General features: G+C 39.7%; 1 protein-coding gene across 14 annotated transcripts in view; it reads left to right on the top strand.

Annotated features, from left to right (window-relative positions):
* Positions 1-18,019, top strand: part of SLC9C2 (solute carrier family 9 member C2 (putative)) — a 102,613-nt gene that overhangs the window by 26,116 nt on the left and 58,478 nt on the right. For 13 of the 14 annotated variants that reach the window (XM_047418170.1, XM_017001074.2, XM_047418169.1 and 10 more), the window contains 2 exons: positions 197-296; positions 3,632-3,775. In XM_047418170.1, coding sequence (XP_047274126.1) covers positions 197-296; positions 3,632-3,775 — 244 coding nt within the window. The remainder of the gene's footprint in view (positions 1-196; positions 297-3,631; positions 3,776-18,019) is intronic. The other variant, XM_017001075.2, reaches the window with a different exon arrangement.

Below are 18,019 nucleotides of genomic sequence, written 5' to 3'. Positions count from 1 at the left end.
TATTTACTATGTGGCCCTTTATAGAAAAAGTTTGCCAGCCCCAGGTTTACTGGATTAGGTCAATCCCTTGAAGCAACCTTCTAAGAACTACTACTTCTCTTAAGATTCCCACCAATTCTTTATTCAAGATAAAGTGTCTCAGTGTGCAGATATGAATACATTGCATTTGATTCATTTGTTTTTTTTTTCTCCCCAGTGGAATTTTTAGGAATGTCAGGCACTCTTGCCTTAGCCGCTGTAGGACTGAATTTAGATTCTTTAACTTTTAAACCGAAGATCGAACTTGTAATTACTAAGTAAGTTTCCTATCGTGCCCTTCGATGGATCTCATAGCAGTTTAGTGCATAAGGCGTCTCGCCTTCATGGACACTAGTAAAACTCTTTTTCCATAACCTTTCTTTATCTTGAAAATTTTATTTTTGCTATCAGTTATATTTGAAAAGAATTTAAGGTGCCAACAATTATCAGCATTAATTGATACTCCTGTTATGAATAAAGTATCAGTGGCTCAGAAACCATGGTGTTTTTTATATGTAACCTGACAAAAATTTACTTTGAACCATGGAGATTTAAAGATACATTTTTTCTTTGTTTCCTTCATAATATACCTAAATAACAGTATATTAATGTGGGAAGAGCTGGAAAAGACGAGTAGCAGAAAGATGTAACATGTAACATCAATAAAACTCTTACCTACCCTTTACTCCTGGTAATAAATGCCATATGAATATCTCTGGATAGGGGGAAAATCATTTGCCTGTCTGTGCAGAGAAATAAGTTAGCCTTTCTCTGAAAGACTATGATAAATTAGAGAATTGGTTCAGAATTATCGAATACCAAATCATCGTCTAATGTAGAAATTCCCACATCAGATGAAAACAAATGTCGAACTGAGAAAAATAAGCCGTAATCCTGAGTTTTCCCATGAAAATTAATTTATTTAATATAAGGACTATGCATTACTATGAAATTATGTCCGTTCTACTTTTTTGTTGTTTATAATGTCCTTTCTTTTATGACATTCCAATGATAGAAGATGGTATTTTCTTTTCTACTCGGCAAAATGAAAAAACATGGGCGGCCGGGCACGGTGGCTCACGCCTGTAATCCCAGCACTTTGGGAGGCCGAGGCAGGCGGATCACGAGGTCAGGAGATCGAGACCATCCTGGCTAGCATGGTGAAGCCACATCTCTACTAAAAATACAGAAAAAATTAGCCGGGCGTGGTGGCAGGCTCCTGTAGTCCCAGCTACTTGGGAGGCTGAGGCAGGAGAATGGCGTGAACCCGGGAGGCGGAGCTTGCAGTGAGCCGAGTTCGCACCACTGCACTCCAGCCTGAGTGACAGAGCGAGACTCTGTCTCAAAAAACAAAAACAAACAAACAAACAACAACAACAACAAAAAACATGGGCACCTAAAACTATTCCAGTTTTGTGCGTATGTGAATGAAACATTACTGTGTTTTTAAATCCAGAAGCTTGGGAATAACCAGTTCATAGAACATCTACTTGGTGTAATGCTCAATTTAGACCGTTTCCTGAGCTCAGTGGTGCTGTCTGTTGACATAATTATAAATTACTTTCTATTCACTCAATTGTTTATTTTTTCACCCATTCGACCAATCCTTTCTTAATGTCTGGTGTGGTCTGGATGTTGCATCTTAGGTCTGGGGCCACGAAAATAAGTCCCTTCTCAGAAGTGCTCCTTGTTAAGTGGCAGACATGTTTATATAAGAAAGTAACAATATGTGTGAATAATTACATATTTATTCAGGTTCTACTGTATACATAATGCATTTTTTAGGTCCTGTAGAGAGAATTGAAAAAAAATTTCTTTTGAGACAGGATCTTGCTTTGCCTTCCAGGCTGAGGGGCAATGGCACTATCAAAGCTCACTATGGCCTCCACCTCCAGGGCTCAAGCGATCCTCCCACCTCAGCCTCTCAAGTAGCTGGGACTACAGGCATGCACCAGGATACCTGGCTAATTTTTCGTATTTTTTGTAGAGATGGGGTTTCACCGTGTTTCCCAGTCTGGTCTCAAACTCCTGGGCTCAAGCAATCTATCCTCCTCAGCCTCCCAAAATGTTGTGATTACATGCATGAGCCATTGTGCCCACATGACATTTTTTTAAAAGTATTTAACTCAGGCCGGGTGCGGTGGCTCATGCCTGTAATCCCAGCACTTTGGGAGGCCAAGACGGGCGAATCACGAGGTCAGGAGATCAAGACCATCCTGGCTAACATGGTGAAACCCTGTCTCTACTAAAAATACAAAAAATTAGCCGGGCGTGGTGGCGGGTGCCTGTAGTCCCAGCTACTCAGGAGTCTGAGGCAGGAGAATGGCGTGAACCTGGGAGGTGGAGCTTGCAGTGAGCCGAGATCGCACCACTTGCACTCCAGCCTGGGTGACAGAGCAAGACTCTGTCTCAAAAAAAAAAAAAAAAAAAAAAGTACTTAACTCAGTCAGTTATTCCATGACTTCTGAATTTTTTGAAAACTATGCACTGGGGTTTGAGGTCCCCTCACTCAAACTCTTCCCCAGTAGGGGTTCAGAACCAATTGAATTAAGAGATAGAAATCACTTGGAGAACCAAACTGTCTCCTTGATTGGGGTAATGCTGTGTGTATCGAAGAACATGATTTATGTCTGCAGCTAAAACGAGGCTTCCTTATGCTTCTTTCCGAGCATAAATTTTGAGATCCACCTGTAAGGAGAATGGTTTGTGGGGCAGATGCACTTACCCAGTCAGCTGAAAGGGAAAGTCTCAAGAGAGAGAGTCTAGAGGAGGCAGGCCTTGAGATCTGCTTGTGGAAGTCACACTTGGGTCTGACCCAGGCGTGCTACCACATGGAACCATACAGAACAGAACATGTACTCTACTGAGGCCTCAGCCCCCTGCCCTAACCCACATGCTCTGGTCTACTCAGCAAGAATCTCTGGGGGTGGTTCTGTCCATTTTTAGAATTCAGTCTGGGTGATTCTAATGCTTTCTTCTGCTTAAAAACTACATTAGTGCAGACAGTCAGCACCGTAGGAATTCAGAGCAGGACCACCTCCACCTAGGGTGCTTAAGATGCTTTCATGGACAACATGGGATTAGAGTTAGCCTTACAAGACTTTTAGGAATTCAGTAGACAGGAAAGCAGACAGGAGAGACTTTCAAAGTAAATAGAAGAGTACATGTGAGTCACAGAGGGAGAGGTTGTGCAGAGAGCATTGAGATGATCGTATTAGCTATTGCAAAGTCAAAGTTACCGAGGTACCTACTAGTAGCAACTACAACTCCGGGTTTAGCAGTAGCAGGCCCAAGAGTTGACATGCTCCCACTGAATCCCAGAGAAATTGATAAATCATCAGCTGGGGGAGGTCCTCATTTTTCTGCTTTGCTCTTATTATTCTACTGTGAGAAGCAGCCCATGGGTATTGGTGTGATGAAGGTAATGAAAAATATGGAACTGGGTGCTTTTAGATCCAACAAAATTCTTTTAAATGTTGACTATAACAGAGATGAAGGCAAGGGCCTCTGCTAAGACAGCATGGTAGATATAAGATATATGATTTTATATGAAAAGGAAAATATATTTTTAAGATGATTGCTTAAAATGTCATTTCTATTTCATTCATCCTAGGTTCTTAAGAATTTTTTCATCTGTATATGAACATTTAATATATGCTTTCTTTGGCATTGTGATTGGATGTGGAGAACTCAGCCACTATGAATTTCACACTATACCTTTCATATTCATTTTATTTACAACAGTGAATTTGGTAAGGTAAGAATAATATTTTAAAGTTTGTTTACTAAACTGAGATTCTCAAGGCCAGAATTAGAATTAGGAAGCAGTGGCATACAGCAAAAAGGGCTCTGGACATGGAGCCAGGAAACCGGCATTGTTATCAAGGCCTTGACAATAGCTTGCTGTGCAACTTGGGGTAAGTGTTTATTTTTCAAGATTTTATCCATAAAATGAGAGGGATCGGCGTCACCCATAAGCTAGACAGAAATGCATATTCATGAGCCCATCTCAACCTACTGAATCAAATCTCTAAATATGAGATCCAGGAAATAGTTTTAACATGCTCTTCAGGTAGTTTGTATGCATGTTAAAGTTGAGCATCACTGGACCAGATTAATTGCTCTTAACATTTTTGTTGAATTTCACCATAATTTATTATCGTCAATAGCTATGAGAAAGCCACTATCATGCTATGTACCAATAGCTGTGATAATGCAGTTACCATGTACTGTATGCCATTGATGTGAATATCACTTTGTGATGTATGTGTTATTGCATCACTTCACAGACGAAGCCCAGAGAATGTAAAAACCTGCCTAGAGTCACTCAACTCATAAGAGCAAATTTGGTATTTAAACCTGACTCCATGAGCATCCTTATTCTAGAATGGCATTGCCCACTGATGGTAGTTGTGTCTTCCATAAGAATTTATGGCAATGTCTCCAAAAACACTGTCATTTTCACTCAGGATGGTGGCCAGGGTAGCTTGTCTTATAGTATGTTCCCATGGAAACTTGAGTCTGCTAACGCAAGGCACTGCATGCAACTCAGATAGTCACTCTCACACAGAAGGCTGTGTACACAGCCCTGAGTGCTACCCCTATCCCCCACCTCATCAGAGTGGGGCCTAAATTGGTGCCTACCTGCTGTTCCCATGCAGCTGTGAAATCAGTAGCCATCTTATCATCTTTTCTCTGCCTCTCTGTCTGGACTCTTAAAAAACAGTTTTTAAGTTAGTCATTGCTCCCTAGTATAATTTAGGTGTTTATGTTTATTTCTGGATCCAAATTCCATCTCCCACACTTGTTAGCTTTGTGACTATGTAACTATGTGACTTTGGGTCATTACTTAATCTAAGTTTCAATTACTTATCTGTAGACTGGGCATAATAATAGATCATCTCAGAGGGTTGCTGTGAGGATTCAATGAGGTAATGCAAGTACAAGAATTTAGCACCATGCCTGGCACATAGTAAATGCTCAGTGAAGTGAGTTTTTGCCATGATTGTGGCTATCCTTATTTTCTCAGGATAAGACACAACTTTTGAAGCTTCAGAATAATGAAAGGATTCCCCAAAGAAATTATCAGTAGGTTTTAAAACAAAACATTATTAATAAAATTAAAACATGAAAACAAACCACCACTGTATTTGTTAATTCTTTCAGCAGATATTTATCAAGCACCTACTAAATGTCAGGCATTGTTCCAGGCACTTAGGACACCTCAGTGGACAAAATACTCTGAAAACATGAAAATTTCTGCCATCATGGAGTTTACAATGTAATTGGGGTTTTCAGAAAAAAAACCAAAATCATGTTAAATGAAGAATATAATATATTAGAAAATAATAAAGACTATGAAAATAAATAAAGCATGGTGAGGAAGTTGGATGTGCCAGCACTAGATGGCAAGCTGCAATTCAACCCAGTGGGCAAGGTAGGCCTCAATGAGAAAGTGACATTTGAATAAAGATATGAAAGAGGTGAGGGAGCCAGGCAGATGGGGGGAAAGACTCATAATTGTACATGCCCTAAGGGAAGGGCCAGCCTGGTATGTGCAATAAACAGCAGGGAGGCCTTGATCACTGAAACAGAGAGAGGGGAGAGCAGGAGATGAGGATAGATAGGTAAGTATGAAAAAAAGTAAGAGAAAGAACCCACGTATGAATACCTTTGTGAGTTAAGAAAACACCTGGAAGGATGTACATCAGCCCCGTAAGAGTGGTTACTTTCCTCTGGGGAATGGGATTTGTGAAGGGGAATAAAGTCAGGGCATTTTAGCTTTTAAAATGTTTACTGAGGATGGAGCAAGATGGCTGATGAATAGAAGGCTCCACTGATCATCCCTCTCACCCCCCTGCAGGAACACCACATTTTAACAGCTATCTGCACACAAAAAAGCACCTTCATAAGAACCAAAAATCAAGTGAGTGATCACAGTACCTACTTTAAAATTCATATTGCAGAAAGAGGCACTAAAGAGGGTAGGAAAAACAGTCATGGATTGCTGACACCACCCCTCCCCAGTCCTCCCCACCACAAAGCAGCTGTGTGGTGCAGAGAGAGAATCTGTGCACTTGGGGAAGGGAGACCACAGCAACTGGGGGAATTTGCACTGAACTTAGTGCTGCCCTGTGACAGTGGAAAGCAAAACTGTGCTGAACTCAGCCAGCACCTGCCCACAGAGGGAACATTTAGACCAGCCCTAGCCAGAGGGGAAGCACCCATTCCCGTGGTAGAAACTTGAGTTTCTCAGCAAGCTGTGGGATACTAAGTGAACTTGGAAGGCAGCCTAGGATATAAGGACTGCAATTCTTAGGCAAGTCCTGATGCTGTGCTGGTCTCAGAGCCAGTGGACCGGGGCAGTGCGTGACCTAGTGAGACAGCAGACAGGGTGGCTTGGGGAGTATTTGTGCCACCCCTCCCACAGCCTCAAGCAGCGCAGCTCAGAACAATGAAAGTGACTTCTTCCTTCTGCTTGAGGAGAGGAGAGTGAAGAGAACTTTGTCCTGCATCTTGGATACCAGCTCAACCACAGCAGAATAGGGCACTGGGCAGAGTTTTGAGGCCCCCAGTTCAGGCTCTAGTTCCTGGACAACATTTCTAGACACACCCTGGGTCAGAAGAGAAACTGCTGTCTTGAAGGGAAGGACCCAGTCCTGGCAGGATTCATCACCTGCTGACTAAAGAGCTCTTGGGCCTTGAGTAAATAACAGCAATACACAGGTGGTATGCTGTGGGCCTTGGGTGAGACTCAGATGTGCTGGCTTCAGGTACCAGCTTGGCCACAGTGGGGTAGACACCAAGTAGGCTTTTGGGGTCCCAAGTCCAGGCCTAGGCATTCTTGAACTTGCCCTGGGCCAGAGGGGAGACCTCTGCCCTGAAGGGTGAGTCCCAGGCCTGGCAGCATTCATTAAAAGCTGGCTTGAAGAGCCCTTGGGCCTTAAGTGAACATGGGTGGTGGTGTGGCAGAACTCCCTTGGGACTGGTGGTAGTGGTGGCCATAGGGAGAGGCTTTCCTGCCTGTGGAAAAAGGAGGAAAGAGTGGGAAGAACTTTGTCTTATGGTTTGAATACCAGCGTAATCACAATAGAATAGAACACCAGGCAGATTTCTAAGGCTTTTCATACTACTTTTTATTTTTTATTTCTTTTTGGGACAGGGTCTTGCTGTGTTGCCCAGGCTGGTCTTGAACTCCTGGGCTCAAGCGATTCTCCTGAATTGCTTGAGAAGAAAGAATTAGTCAGCTTGAAGACAGACTATTCAAGAATACACAGTCAGAAGACGCAAAAGAAAAAAGAATAAAAAAGAATGCGGCACACCTACTAGGAAATAACCTCAGAAGGGCAAGTCTAAGTGTTATTGGCCTTAAAGAGGCAGTAGAGAAAGAAATAGGGGTAGAAAGTTTATTCAAAATGGTAATATCAGAGAACTTCCCAAACCAAGGGAAAGATATCAATATTCAAGTACAAGAAGGTTGTAGAACGCTGAGCAGATTTAACCCAAAGAAGGCTACCTCAAGGCATTTAATAATCAAACTGCCAAAGATCACGGATAAAGAAAGGACCCTAAAAGCAGAAAAGAAGCCACTTACAATGAAGCACCAATCAAGCAGAAATTCTAGAATAAAAAATGCAAGTGACATACTGAGGAATGCATTAGAGTCTCTTAATAGCAGAATTGATCAAGCAGAAGAAAGAATTAGTGAGCCTGAAGACAGGCTATTTGAAAATATGCAGTCAGAGGAGACAAAAGGCAAAAGTCTGGCAGCAGACTTTTCGGTGGAAACCTTACAGACTAGGAGAGAGTGGCATGACATATTTAAAGTGCTGAAGGAAAATAACTTTTACCCAAGAATAGTATATCTGTGAAAATATCCTTCAAACATGAAGGAGAAATGAAGACTTTCCCAGACAAACAAAAGCTGAGGGATTTCATCAACATCAGACCTTTCCTAGAAGAAATGCTAAAGGGAGTTTTTCAATCTGAAAGAAAAGGATGTTAATGAGCAATAAGAAATCATCAGAAGATATAAAACTCACTGGTAATAGTAGGTACACACAAAAACATAGAATACTATGACACTGTAATTGTGGTGGGTAAACTACTCACATTTTGAATAGAAAGACTAAAAGATGAACCTATCAAACATGATAATTTCAACAAATTTTCAGGACACAGACTTACTGGTAATAGTGGGTACATGGAAAATCATGGACAATTATAACACTGTCTGGCAATTCCTCAAAGAGCTAAAAGAGGAACTGCCATTTGGCCCAGCAATCTCATTATTGGGTATATACCCAGAGGAATATAAATCATTTTACTATAAAGACACATGAACGTGAATGTTCATTGCAGCACTATTCACAATAGCAAAGGCATGGAATCAACCTAAATGCTCATCAATGCCAGATTGGATAAAGAAAATGTAATACATATACACCATGAAATACTATGCAGCCATAAAAAAGACTGAGATCATGTCTTTTGTGGAACATGGATAGAGTTGGAGGTTATTATCCTTAGCAAACTAACACAGGAACAGAAAACCAAACACTACATGTTATAACTTACAAGTGGAGGCTAAATGATAAGAACTTACGAATACAAAGAAGGAAACAACAGACACTGAGATCTACTTGAGGTGGGAGGATGGGAGGAGGGAGAGGAGCAGAAAAAGTAACTATTAGGTACTGGGCTTAATACCTTCATGATGAAATAATAGGTACAACAAACCCCTGTGACACGTGTTTACCTATGTAACAAACCTTCACGTGTACTCCCAAACCTAAAATAAAATATTTAAAAAACGCTGTAATTGTGGTGTGTAAACTACTCCTAAGTAGAAATGCAAAATGACAAACTACATTTGTTGTAGTTGTAATTACTTCAACAACTTTTCAAGACATAGACAGTACATACAATAAGATATAAAGAAACAACAAAAAGTTAAATAGCAGGGGGGTAAAGTCAAAGTGTATCGTTTTTTATCAGTCTTCTTTTTGCTTATTTCTTCGTTTATGCAATTAGTGTTAAGTGTCATCAATTTTAAATGATGGGTTATAAGATAGTATTTACCAGCTTCATGGTAACCTTAAATTAAAAAATACAACAGATACACAAAGAATTAAAAGCAAGAAATTAAATCATACTGCCAGTGAAAATCACCTTCATTGAAAGGGCTGGAAGGAAGGAAAGAAGAAAGAGAAGACCACAAAACAACCAGAAAGCAAATAACAAAATAGTAGCAGTAAGTCCTTACTTATCAATAATAACATTGAATGTAAATGGACTAAACTCTCCAATCAAAAGACAGAGTGGATGAATTAATAATAAAAAACAAGACCCAATGATCTGTTGTCTCCAAGAAAAACACTTCACCTATAAAGATACATATAGACTGACAATAAAGGGATGGAAAAAGACATTCCATGCCAGTGGAAACCAAAAAAGAGCAAGAGTAGCTATACTTCAGACAAAATACATTTCAAGACAAAAACTGTAAGAAGAGACAAAGAAGGTCATTATATAATGATAAAGGAGTCAATTCAGCAAGATGGTATGACAGTTTTAAATGTATATGCACTCAACACTGGAGCACCCAGATAAAACAAATATTATTAGTGCCAAAGAGAGAGAAACCTCAATGCAATAATAACAGACTTCAACACCCCACTTTTGCCATTGGACAGATCTTCCAGACAAAAATATTAACAAAGAAACATTGGACTTAATTTGCACCATGGAACAAATAGACCTTATAGATATTTACAGAACATTTTGTCCAAGAGCTGCAGAATACACATTTTTCTCCTCAGCACATGGATCATTCTGAAGGACAGACCATATGTTAGATCATAAAACAAGTCTTAAAAGGTTCAAAAAAGCTGAAATAATATCAAGCATTTTCCAGAATAAAACAAGAAATCAATAACAAGAAGAATTTTGCAAACTATACAACACAGGTAAATTAAACAAAATGCTCCTGAATGAAAGTGCATCAATGAAGAAATTAAGAAGGAAACTGAAAAATTTCTTGAAACATATGATAATAGAAACACAACATACCAAAACTTATGGGATGCAGCAAAAGCAGTACTAAGAGGGAAATTTATAGTTACATGTGCCTACATCAAAAAAGAAAAAAAAAAAACTCCAAGCAAATAGCCTAATGATACATCTTAAAGAACTAGAAAAGGAAGAGCAAACCAAACTCAAAATTGGTAGATGAAAAGAAATAATACATATTAGAGCACAAATAAATGAAATTGAAATGAAAAAAATAGGAAATATAAATGAAACAAAAAGTTGGTTTTTTGAAAAGATAAACAAAAATGACAAACCTTTACCTAGACTAAGAGAAAAAGAGAGAAAATCCAAATAAATAGAATCAGAGATGAAAAGTGAGACATTATGATTGATACCACAGAAATTCAAAGGATCATTACTGGTTACCATAAGCAACTATATGCCAATAAATTGGAAAACCTAGAAGAAATGGACAAATTCCTAGACACATACCACCTACCCTACCTAAATCATGAAGAGATCCAAAACCTGAACAGACCAATAACAAGTAATGAGATCAAAACTGTAATAAAAAGTCCCCCAGCAAAGATAAGCCCTGACCTGATGGCTTCTACCATGCTGAATTCTACCAAACATTTAAAGAAGAATAATACCCATTATACTCAAATTATTCTGAAAAATAGAGGAGGAGGAAATACTTCCAAACTTGTTCTAAGAAGTCAGTATTACCCTGATACCAACACCAGACAAAGACACATCAAAAAAAGAAAACTTCAGGTCAATATCTCTCATGAATATTGATGTAAAAATCCTCAACAAAATGTAAGCAAACATAATTCAACAATGCATTAAAAAGATCATTCATCATGATCATCCCTGGGACTTATCCCAGGGATGCAGGGATGGTTCAACATATGCAAATCAATCTATGTGATACATCATATCAACAGAATGAAGGACAAAAACCATGTAATCATTTCAATTGATGATGAAAAAGCATTTGATAAAATTCAGCATGCCTTCATAATAAAAACATGCCTTCATGATAAAAAAAAGACATTCCACGTTCATGAATTGGAAGGATCAATATTGTTAAAATGTCCATACTATCTAAAATGATCTAGAGATTCAATGCAACCTCTATCAAAATACCAATTACGTTCTTCACAGAAATAAGAAAAATAATTCTAAAATTTATGTGGCAACACAAAAGACCCAGAATAACCAAAGGTAATCTGAGCAAAAAAAACAAAAGTGGAGGAATCACATTACTTAACTTCAAATTATACTGCAGAGCTATAGTAATGAACACAGCATGGGAATGGCATAAAAACAGACACATAGACCAATGGAACAGAAAAGAGAACCCAGAAATAAATCCATATGTCTACAGTGAACTCTTTTTTGACAAAGGTGACAAGAACGTATATTGGAGAAAGAACAGTCTCTTCAATAAATGGTGCTGGGAAAACTGGATATCCATAAGTGAAAGAATGAAACTAGGCACCTAACTCTCACCACATGCAAAAATCAAATCAAAATGGATTAAATATGTAAATCTAAGACCTCAACCTATGAAACTACTGCAAGAAAACATTGGGGAAACCCTCTAGGACACTGGTCTGGGCATAGATTTCTTGAGTAATAATCCACAAGTGCAGGCAATCAAAGAAAAAATGGACAAATTAGATAACATAAAGTTAAAAAGCTTCTGTATAGTAAAGGAAACAATCAACAAATTGAAGAGACAACCCACAGAATGGGAGGAAACCACCCATCTGTACAGTGGTGCATGCCTGTAATCCCAGCTACTTGGGAGGCTGAGGCAGGAGAATCGCTTGAACCCGGGAGGCAGAGGTTGCAGTGAGCTGAGTTTGCACCACTGCACTCCAGCCTGGGCGACAGAGTGAGACTTTGTCTCAAAAAAAAAAAAAAAAAGAAAAAGAAAAAAAGAAAAAAGAAAACTACCCGGCCAGGCACGGTGGCTCACGCCTGTAATCCCAGCACTTTGGGAGGCCGAGGCGGGCAGATCATGAGGTCAGGAGATCGAGACCATCCTGGCTAACAGGGTAAAACCCTGTCTCTACTAAAAATATAAAAAATTAGCCAGGCGTGGTGGCAGGCGCCTGTAGTTCCAGCTATTCGGGAGGCTGAGGCAGGAGAATGGCATGAACCCGGGAGGCAGAGCTTGCAGTGAGCCGAGATCGCGCCACTGCACTCCAGCCTGGGTGACAGAGCAAGGCTCCATCTCAAAAAAAAAAAAAAAAAAGAAAAGGAAAAGAAAACTACCCATCTGGTGAGAGTTTCATAACCAGAATATATAAGGAGCTCAAACAAGTCATAGGAAAACATCTAACAATCTGATTAAAAAATGGGCAAAAGATCTGAGTAGACACTTCTCTAAAGAAGACGTACAGATGGCAAACAGGTATATGAAAATGTGCCCAACGTCATTGATCATCAGGGAAATGCAGCTCAAAACTACAGTAAGATATCATCTGATCCCAGTTAAAATGGCTTTTATCCAAAAGACAGGCAATAACAAATGATGGTAAGGATGTGGAGAAAAGGGAACTCACATACACTGTTGGTGGGAATGTAGATTAGTACAACCACTACAAAGAATATTTTGGAGGTTCCTCAAAAAAGTAAACACAGAGTTATATCATTCAGCAATCACACTGCTGCATATATACTCCAAATAAAGGAAATCAGTATATCAAAGAAGTATCTGCACTCCCATGTTTATTGCAGCACTATTCACAATAACCAAGATTTGGAAGCGACCTAAGTGTCCATTAACAGATGAATGGGTAAAGAAAATGTGGTACATATACACAATGGAATACTATTCAGCCATAAAAAAGCATGAGATCCTGTCATTTGCAACAATATGGAAAGAACTGGAGGTCATTATGTTAAATGAAATAAGCCAGGCACAGAAAGACAAATTTCACATGTTTTCACTTATTTGTGGGATGTAAAAATTAAAACAATTGAACTCATGGAGGTAGAGAGTAGAGGGATGGTTACCAGAGGCTGGGAAGGGTAGTAGGGGGATAAGGGGGGAAAGTGGAGGATGGTTAACAGGTACAAAAAATAGAATGAGTAAAACCTAGTATTTGATGGCACAACAGGGTGACTATAGTTGATAATTTAATTGTACAATTAAAAATAACTAAGAGAGTCTAACTGGATTGTCTGTAACACAAAGGATAAATGCTTGAGGGCATAGATACCCGATTTAGCATGATGTCATTATTATGCATTGCATGCCCCGTATCAAATGTCTCATGTACCCCATAAATACACACACCTACTCTGTACCCACAAAAATTAAAAATTAAAACATTTTTAATATACTTTTTTACTGTTTGAGGTTTTTTCAGTATTCATGTATTGTTTTATCATTTAAAACCAAGATAAAGTAACTAGATTGGCCTTCTCTTCCCGGTCCTTCCTGGAGTTGGGAAAAGCTGGGTTGAGGGAGCGTTAAAAAAAAATTATGAAGGATACGACAAGTTCATAAAAGAAGAAATATGAGTGGCTAAAACATTTTTAAGTTTCAAACTCACTAGAAATTTTTGAAAATAAAAGGAAAAGTGGTAAAATCAGTGGTTCCTAAAAACCATGCATTCAGCCCTGTGAGACTGTGATAAAGACCTTGTGGAACACTGGCCCTGCCCCCCTCATCAGCTGGCTCAAAGGACCCTCTTCTGCTTGCTGTCTTCATTCCAAACACGTGTGACAAAGTTCCTCAGATACTTGTTTCTTCAGGTCCTTCCAAGGCTATCCTCTGGCTGCCCTTCATCCTGGCCCCCCGTGGCTTCAGATTACAGGACAAACGATCCTTGCTTAGGGAAAGCCTCCCTGCTTCTTGTCCCTGCTGTCCGCCTCCACCAGGGGAGGCACCGCTCTCCCACACTCTTTCTCACTGTATAGTTCTCCTTTTAGCACTCCCTGCAAGTATTATAGAATACTTACTTGTATAGTTAATGATTTAATGTTTGTTTCCGCAGTGAAATGTAATCCCTGGGGGAAGGGATCAGCTCTCTTGATCTCTACAACATTCTTAGATTCTGGAATAAAATTTTTATATATATTTGTTGAATGACTAAATAACTGTAAGAATCTTATAAATGTTTGTATTCCACTTCTAAGAATGTGATTTAAAATGTGGAGTGGATAATGTGCTCATCAAATTATATATGCTAAATACGTGCAGATTTCTGTATACCAATGAAGCTGTTAAATTATTTTAAAAATCTGGATGATGATTTATTCAATGTATTTTCATTGTAGTTGTATTCATAGAGATGAAAAATTAGAAAGAATCCAAAGGTCCTGAGGGGTGTGAATTATGGACAAGAAAATCTTGTACTTTCCTTTTATAAAATCACTTACCCTTGACGTGTGTATTTTTAAGATTAATAGAAAATTGTTCCTAATCTGTTAATAAGCTCCACTATGTATAAAATGTTTAAAGAATATTTAAAATTAATAATCTTTTAAGGTAGACTGAAAGCTACAATTTGTGAGATTGCTTGCATTTATGATAATCAGAAAAATAAACATTATGAAACGCATTAAAAGATATTTTTAAAAATCCAGACCTCAGGATTTCGCTTTGATGAGGTACAAAATTAGAAAAAAAAGTATAATTGATTTCCACCTTGACAAAGATTAATTTGGCCTTTTTGATGTTGCAGTCAACACTTCTAGGGAGCTCTGAATGTTTTTCAATAGTCATTGGGCACAGGGGCTAGTTTCTGACTTGAACGATGACCTTAATGAATTTTTTTCCTATAGAGTTGTAATGGGCATATAACTTAATTCCTATTATAACGGTGCCCAGATTTTTAGTACTCAAAAAAATGAAATTTTATTTCTAGAACTGGCTTTACTACATAGCTGTGAGCTGGATCCTGGTGGATTTAGTTTACATATAATCAGGTAAATTCATTCCAATCTAGTGACTTCCCAGGTCAGTTCAGGATTGTTGGATTAGTTACAGTTGGGGGTGTGTGTGTGTGTGTGTGTGTGTCTGTGTCTGTGTGTGTGTGTATCTTATGTGATTGGTCAGTCCTTGGGGGAATGGGTGGGAGTGGCTGATCTTTTTCATGTATGATTGGTCACTGGTGGTGGCAATGGAAGGGACCAGTGATCATCAATTTATCTGGTCAAGCCTGTTCTGGGACCAGTTGCTGATGTCCTTGAAGGCTGTCACCTGGACAGGGGCTCTAGTCAGGACTCTGTTGTATCTAAGTCCCTCAGGTTAGTCATACTCCTGAGAGATTGTCAGACTTCCCATCCATACTCCATTCATCAGCAGGACCCCACATTTCTCTGACAAGCTTCCCCCCAGTGTGAAGAGCTGGAACTAAGGGTAGAACAGAGACACTGTCTCCTATTAACTCTTTAGTCTGAGGTCAGAGGATGCTGATTCAGCTAATTCTACTTCCAGGTCTTGGTTGTACAGCTATGCAAACTTGCCTTAAAAAATAAGTAGTCTTTCAGCTTAGAAGCCAAACAATATGGTACATTTTTTTCACTGGTCTCTGGTGACATCCCTCACTCCCACCTCCATCCCAGGCAAACAGCAACCCCACATCTCTTTCTCTAAAAAGGAGTGACCGTGTGAATACAATAGGACTTGCTGTTTGAAGTCTCAAGGTTCACAGAGATGCATAAAACACAGCATCTCTCCTCAAGAAGTTTATATTCTAGTTGGAGGGATAAAATAAATATATAAATAACTATAACATAAGGAAAGATAAGCTTCATATGGGAGGCTTAAGAAATGTGGTATGGGGCCGGGCACGGTGGCTCACACATGTAATCCCAGCACTTTGGGAGGCCAAGGCAGGTGGATCATGTGAGGTCAAGAGTTCAAGACAAGCCTGGCCAACATGGTGAAACCCTGTTTCTACTAAAATACAAAGATTAGCTGGGCGTGGTTGCACATGCCTGTAGTCCCAGCTACTCAGGAGGCTGAGGCAGGAGAATCGCTTGAACCTGGGAGACAGAGGTTGCAGTGAGCCAAGATCACTCCACTGCACTCCAGCCTGGGTGATAGAGTGAGACTCTGTCTAAAAAAAACAATAAAAATTAAAAATTAAAAAGAAAGAGAGAAGGAACAAGAAACGTGTTATGGGGCTTCATAGCTAGCTGCGGGGTTCTGTGCAAAGCCTGCTCTGTGCTAGATTTACAAATTCAAAGGAGTCATAGGTTGGGTTTCCTGGAAGCAGATTCTGAGAGGGAGGGTTGGGACAGTTGTTGGCAGAAGGTTTATTGGGCAAGTGTGGAAGGCAGAGTTGGGCAAGGGGACAAGCTGACCTACAGCACAGTTTCATCCAAGGCTCCCCTGAGCTTTGGGAAACTGTGGAGCTGGAAGAGCCCTTCAGAGTCATCCCACACTGAGACAAGGGAACAGGCCTTTGTATCTCTGCATAATGCAGTCATTGGCCAAGGGCTATCCCTTGAGAGGCAACAACTTTGAGTAGGGCAGGTCCCTGTGGCCCAGAGCAATGTGCAGTGAGAGGCAGAGCCATGCAGGCCCACTTAAATCCTCAAATCCCTACCAGTTGGGGGATGGGCTATCGGCCCTGAAGAGGATGTCTAAATGGAACACCACAATATCCACTATAAAAGGAGTGGTGTTCCTGCAATATATTAAAGTGTTTTATTTTTCGTATTACACTTCTTTATGTATGAACTTCCTTCTATTCAGCTAAAAAAGGATTAAGATTTTATGATGAAATTCCAAAATAAAGAGTTTATATGTAGCTCCTGATTTCTGAATATTTTTGAGACCCCACAATGAGACAACAGTTCTGAAAGCCAGGCTTTGCTGAAGAAGACTTTGTTAAATTCTGAAAATACCCTTTTTTCATATCAACAGACAAGCTTGGTAGATTCGGATTATATAATTTTATTTTATGCCATGGTGAAGATGATGGAGGTTATGACAAACAGGAAGGGGACGTAGAACATTGCTGATTATAGAGGGGGTTGAGATTAGGGTGAGGAGACTGCTCCACCCCTATCATATCCCCACCTATACCTCCTGTTTGGAACTCTGAGAAAATATAGCCTCCTAGAGTGACATGGGCCTAAGGCTACTGAGTAGAAATGGTGGGTTGACCTATGTAAGTAGACAGTAGGCCCGAGATTGTACTTTTGATCCTTCCTTAATCTGTTTCTGACATGGAAGGAATCTGAAGTTCTTTCCTCCTCTGTGGTGAATTCAGAAGATATTTGGTGAGTTTGCCAGAAGGGTCACCAAAGTGAGCCCATGTTGGAGGGCTGCATGGGAGACCACTCAAACCTAGGGTCAAATGGGAGTGGCAGCAGACCTCAAGGGATCTGCAGTGCTGGGTGGTGGTGGTCATTTAGTTGGCAGAGGAGACAGGTCATCTGAGCAATTACCATGCATTGGCCTTGCTGAAAAAAATAGACCAAGAATACTTCCCAGTAGATGTCTCAAGAACAGGGGCCAAAGGCCAAACACAAGTAACACAAAACACCTAAATCAATAGATGTTCTCTGCAACACTTTCCCTGATGCCATGAGTTATGTGAATTTCCTTCTACACCCAGACCCTGTCTTGGAAAGGCAGGGCAGGGGGAGCATCTTGGAAAACAGGAGAAACTGCTCTTTATAGGGAACTTTGAATTGACTATCTGTATAGGCAAGACTAAGTTATACCCAAAGAATCTTTAAACTAGAAAAGACTAAATTATTCCATTTGAAAGTTAACATTTCGTTCTGCCACGAGAGCTCATGTGTAAGCTGAGATTGGTCATAAAGAAAGAAACATGGCTTTAGCACAATGTTTGACTCAGGTACACATCCATTATCTCATTTCATCTTCATAACAACACTAGGAGATAAGAATTATCATCTCCAATTATTTATCTCTGTTATTTTCTACACTTTAAAGAAATCAACCCCCAGAAAAGCAAAGGAC

The sequence above is a fragment of the Homo sapiens genome, chromosome 1 (assembly GCF_000001405.40).
Source record: "Homo sapiens chromosome 1, GRCh38.p14 Primary Assembly".
Taxonomy (NCBI): domain Eukaryota; kingdom Metazoa; phylum Chordata; class Mammalia; order Primates; family Hominidae; genus Homo; species Homo sapiens.
Note: the sequence above shows the minus strand (reverse complement) of the source record. Positions and strands in the feature narration are given on the sequence as shown.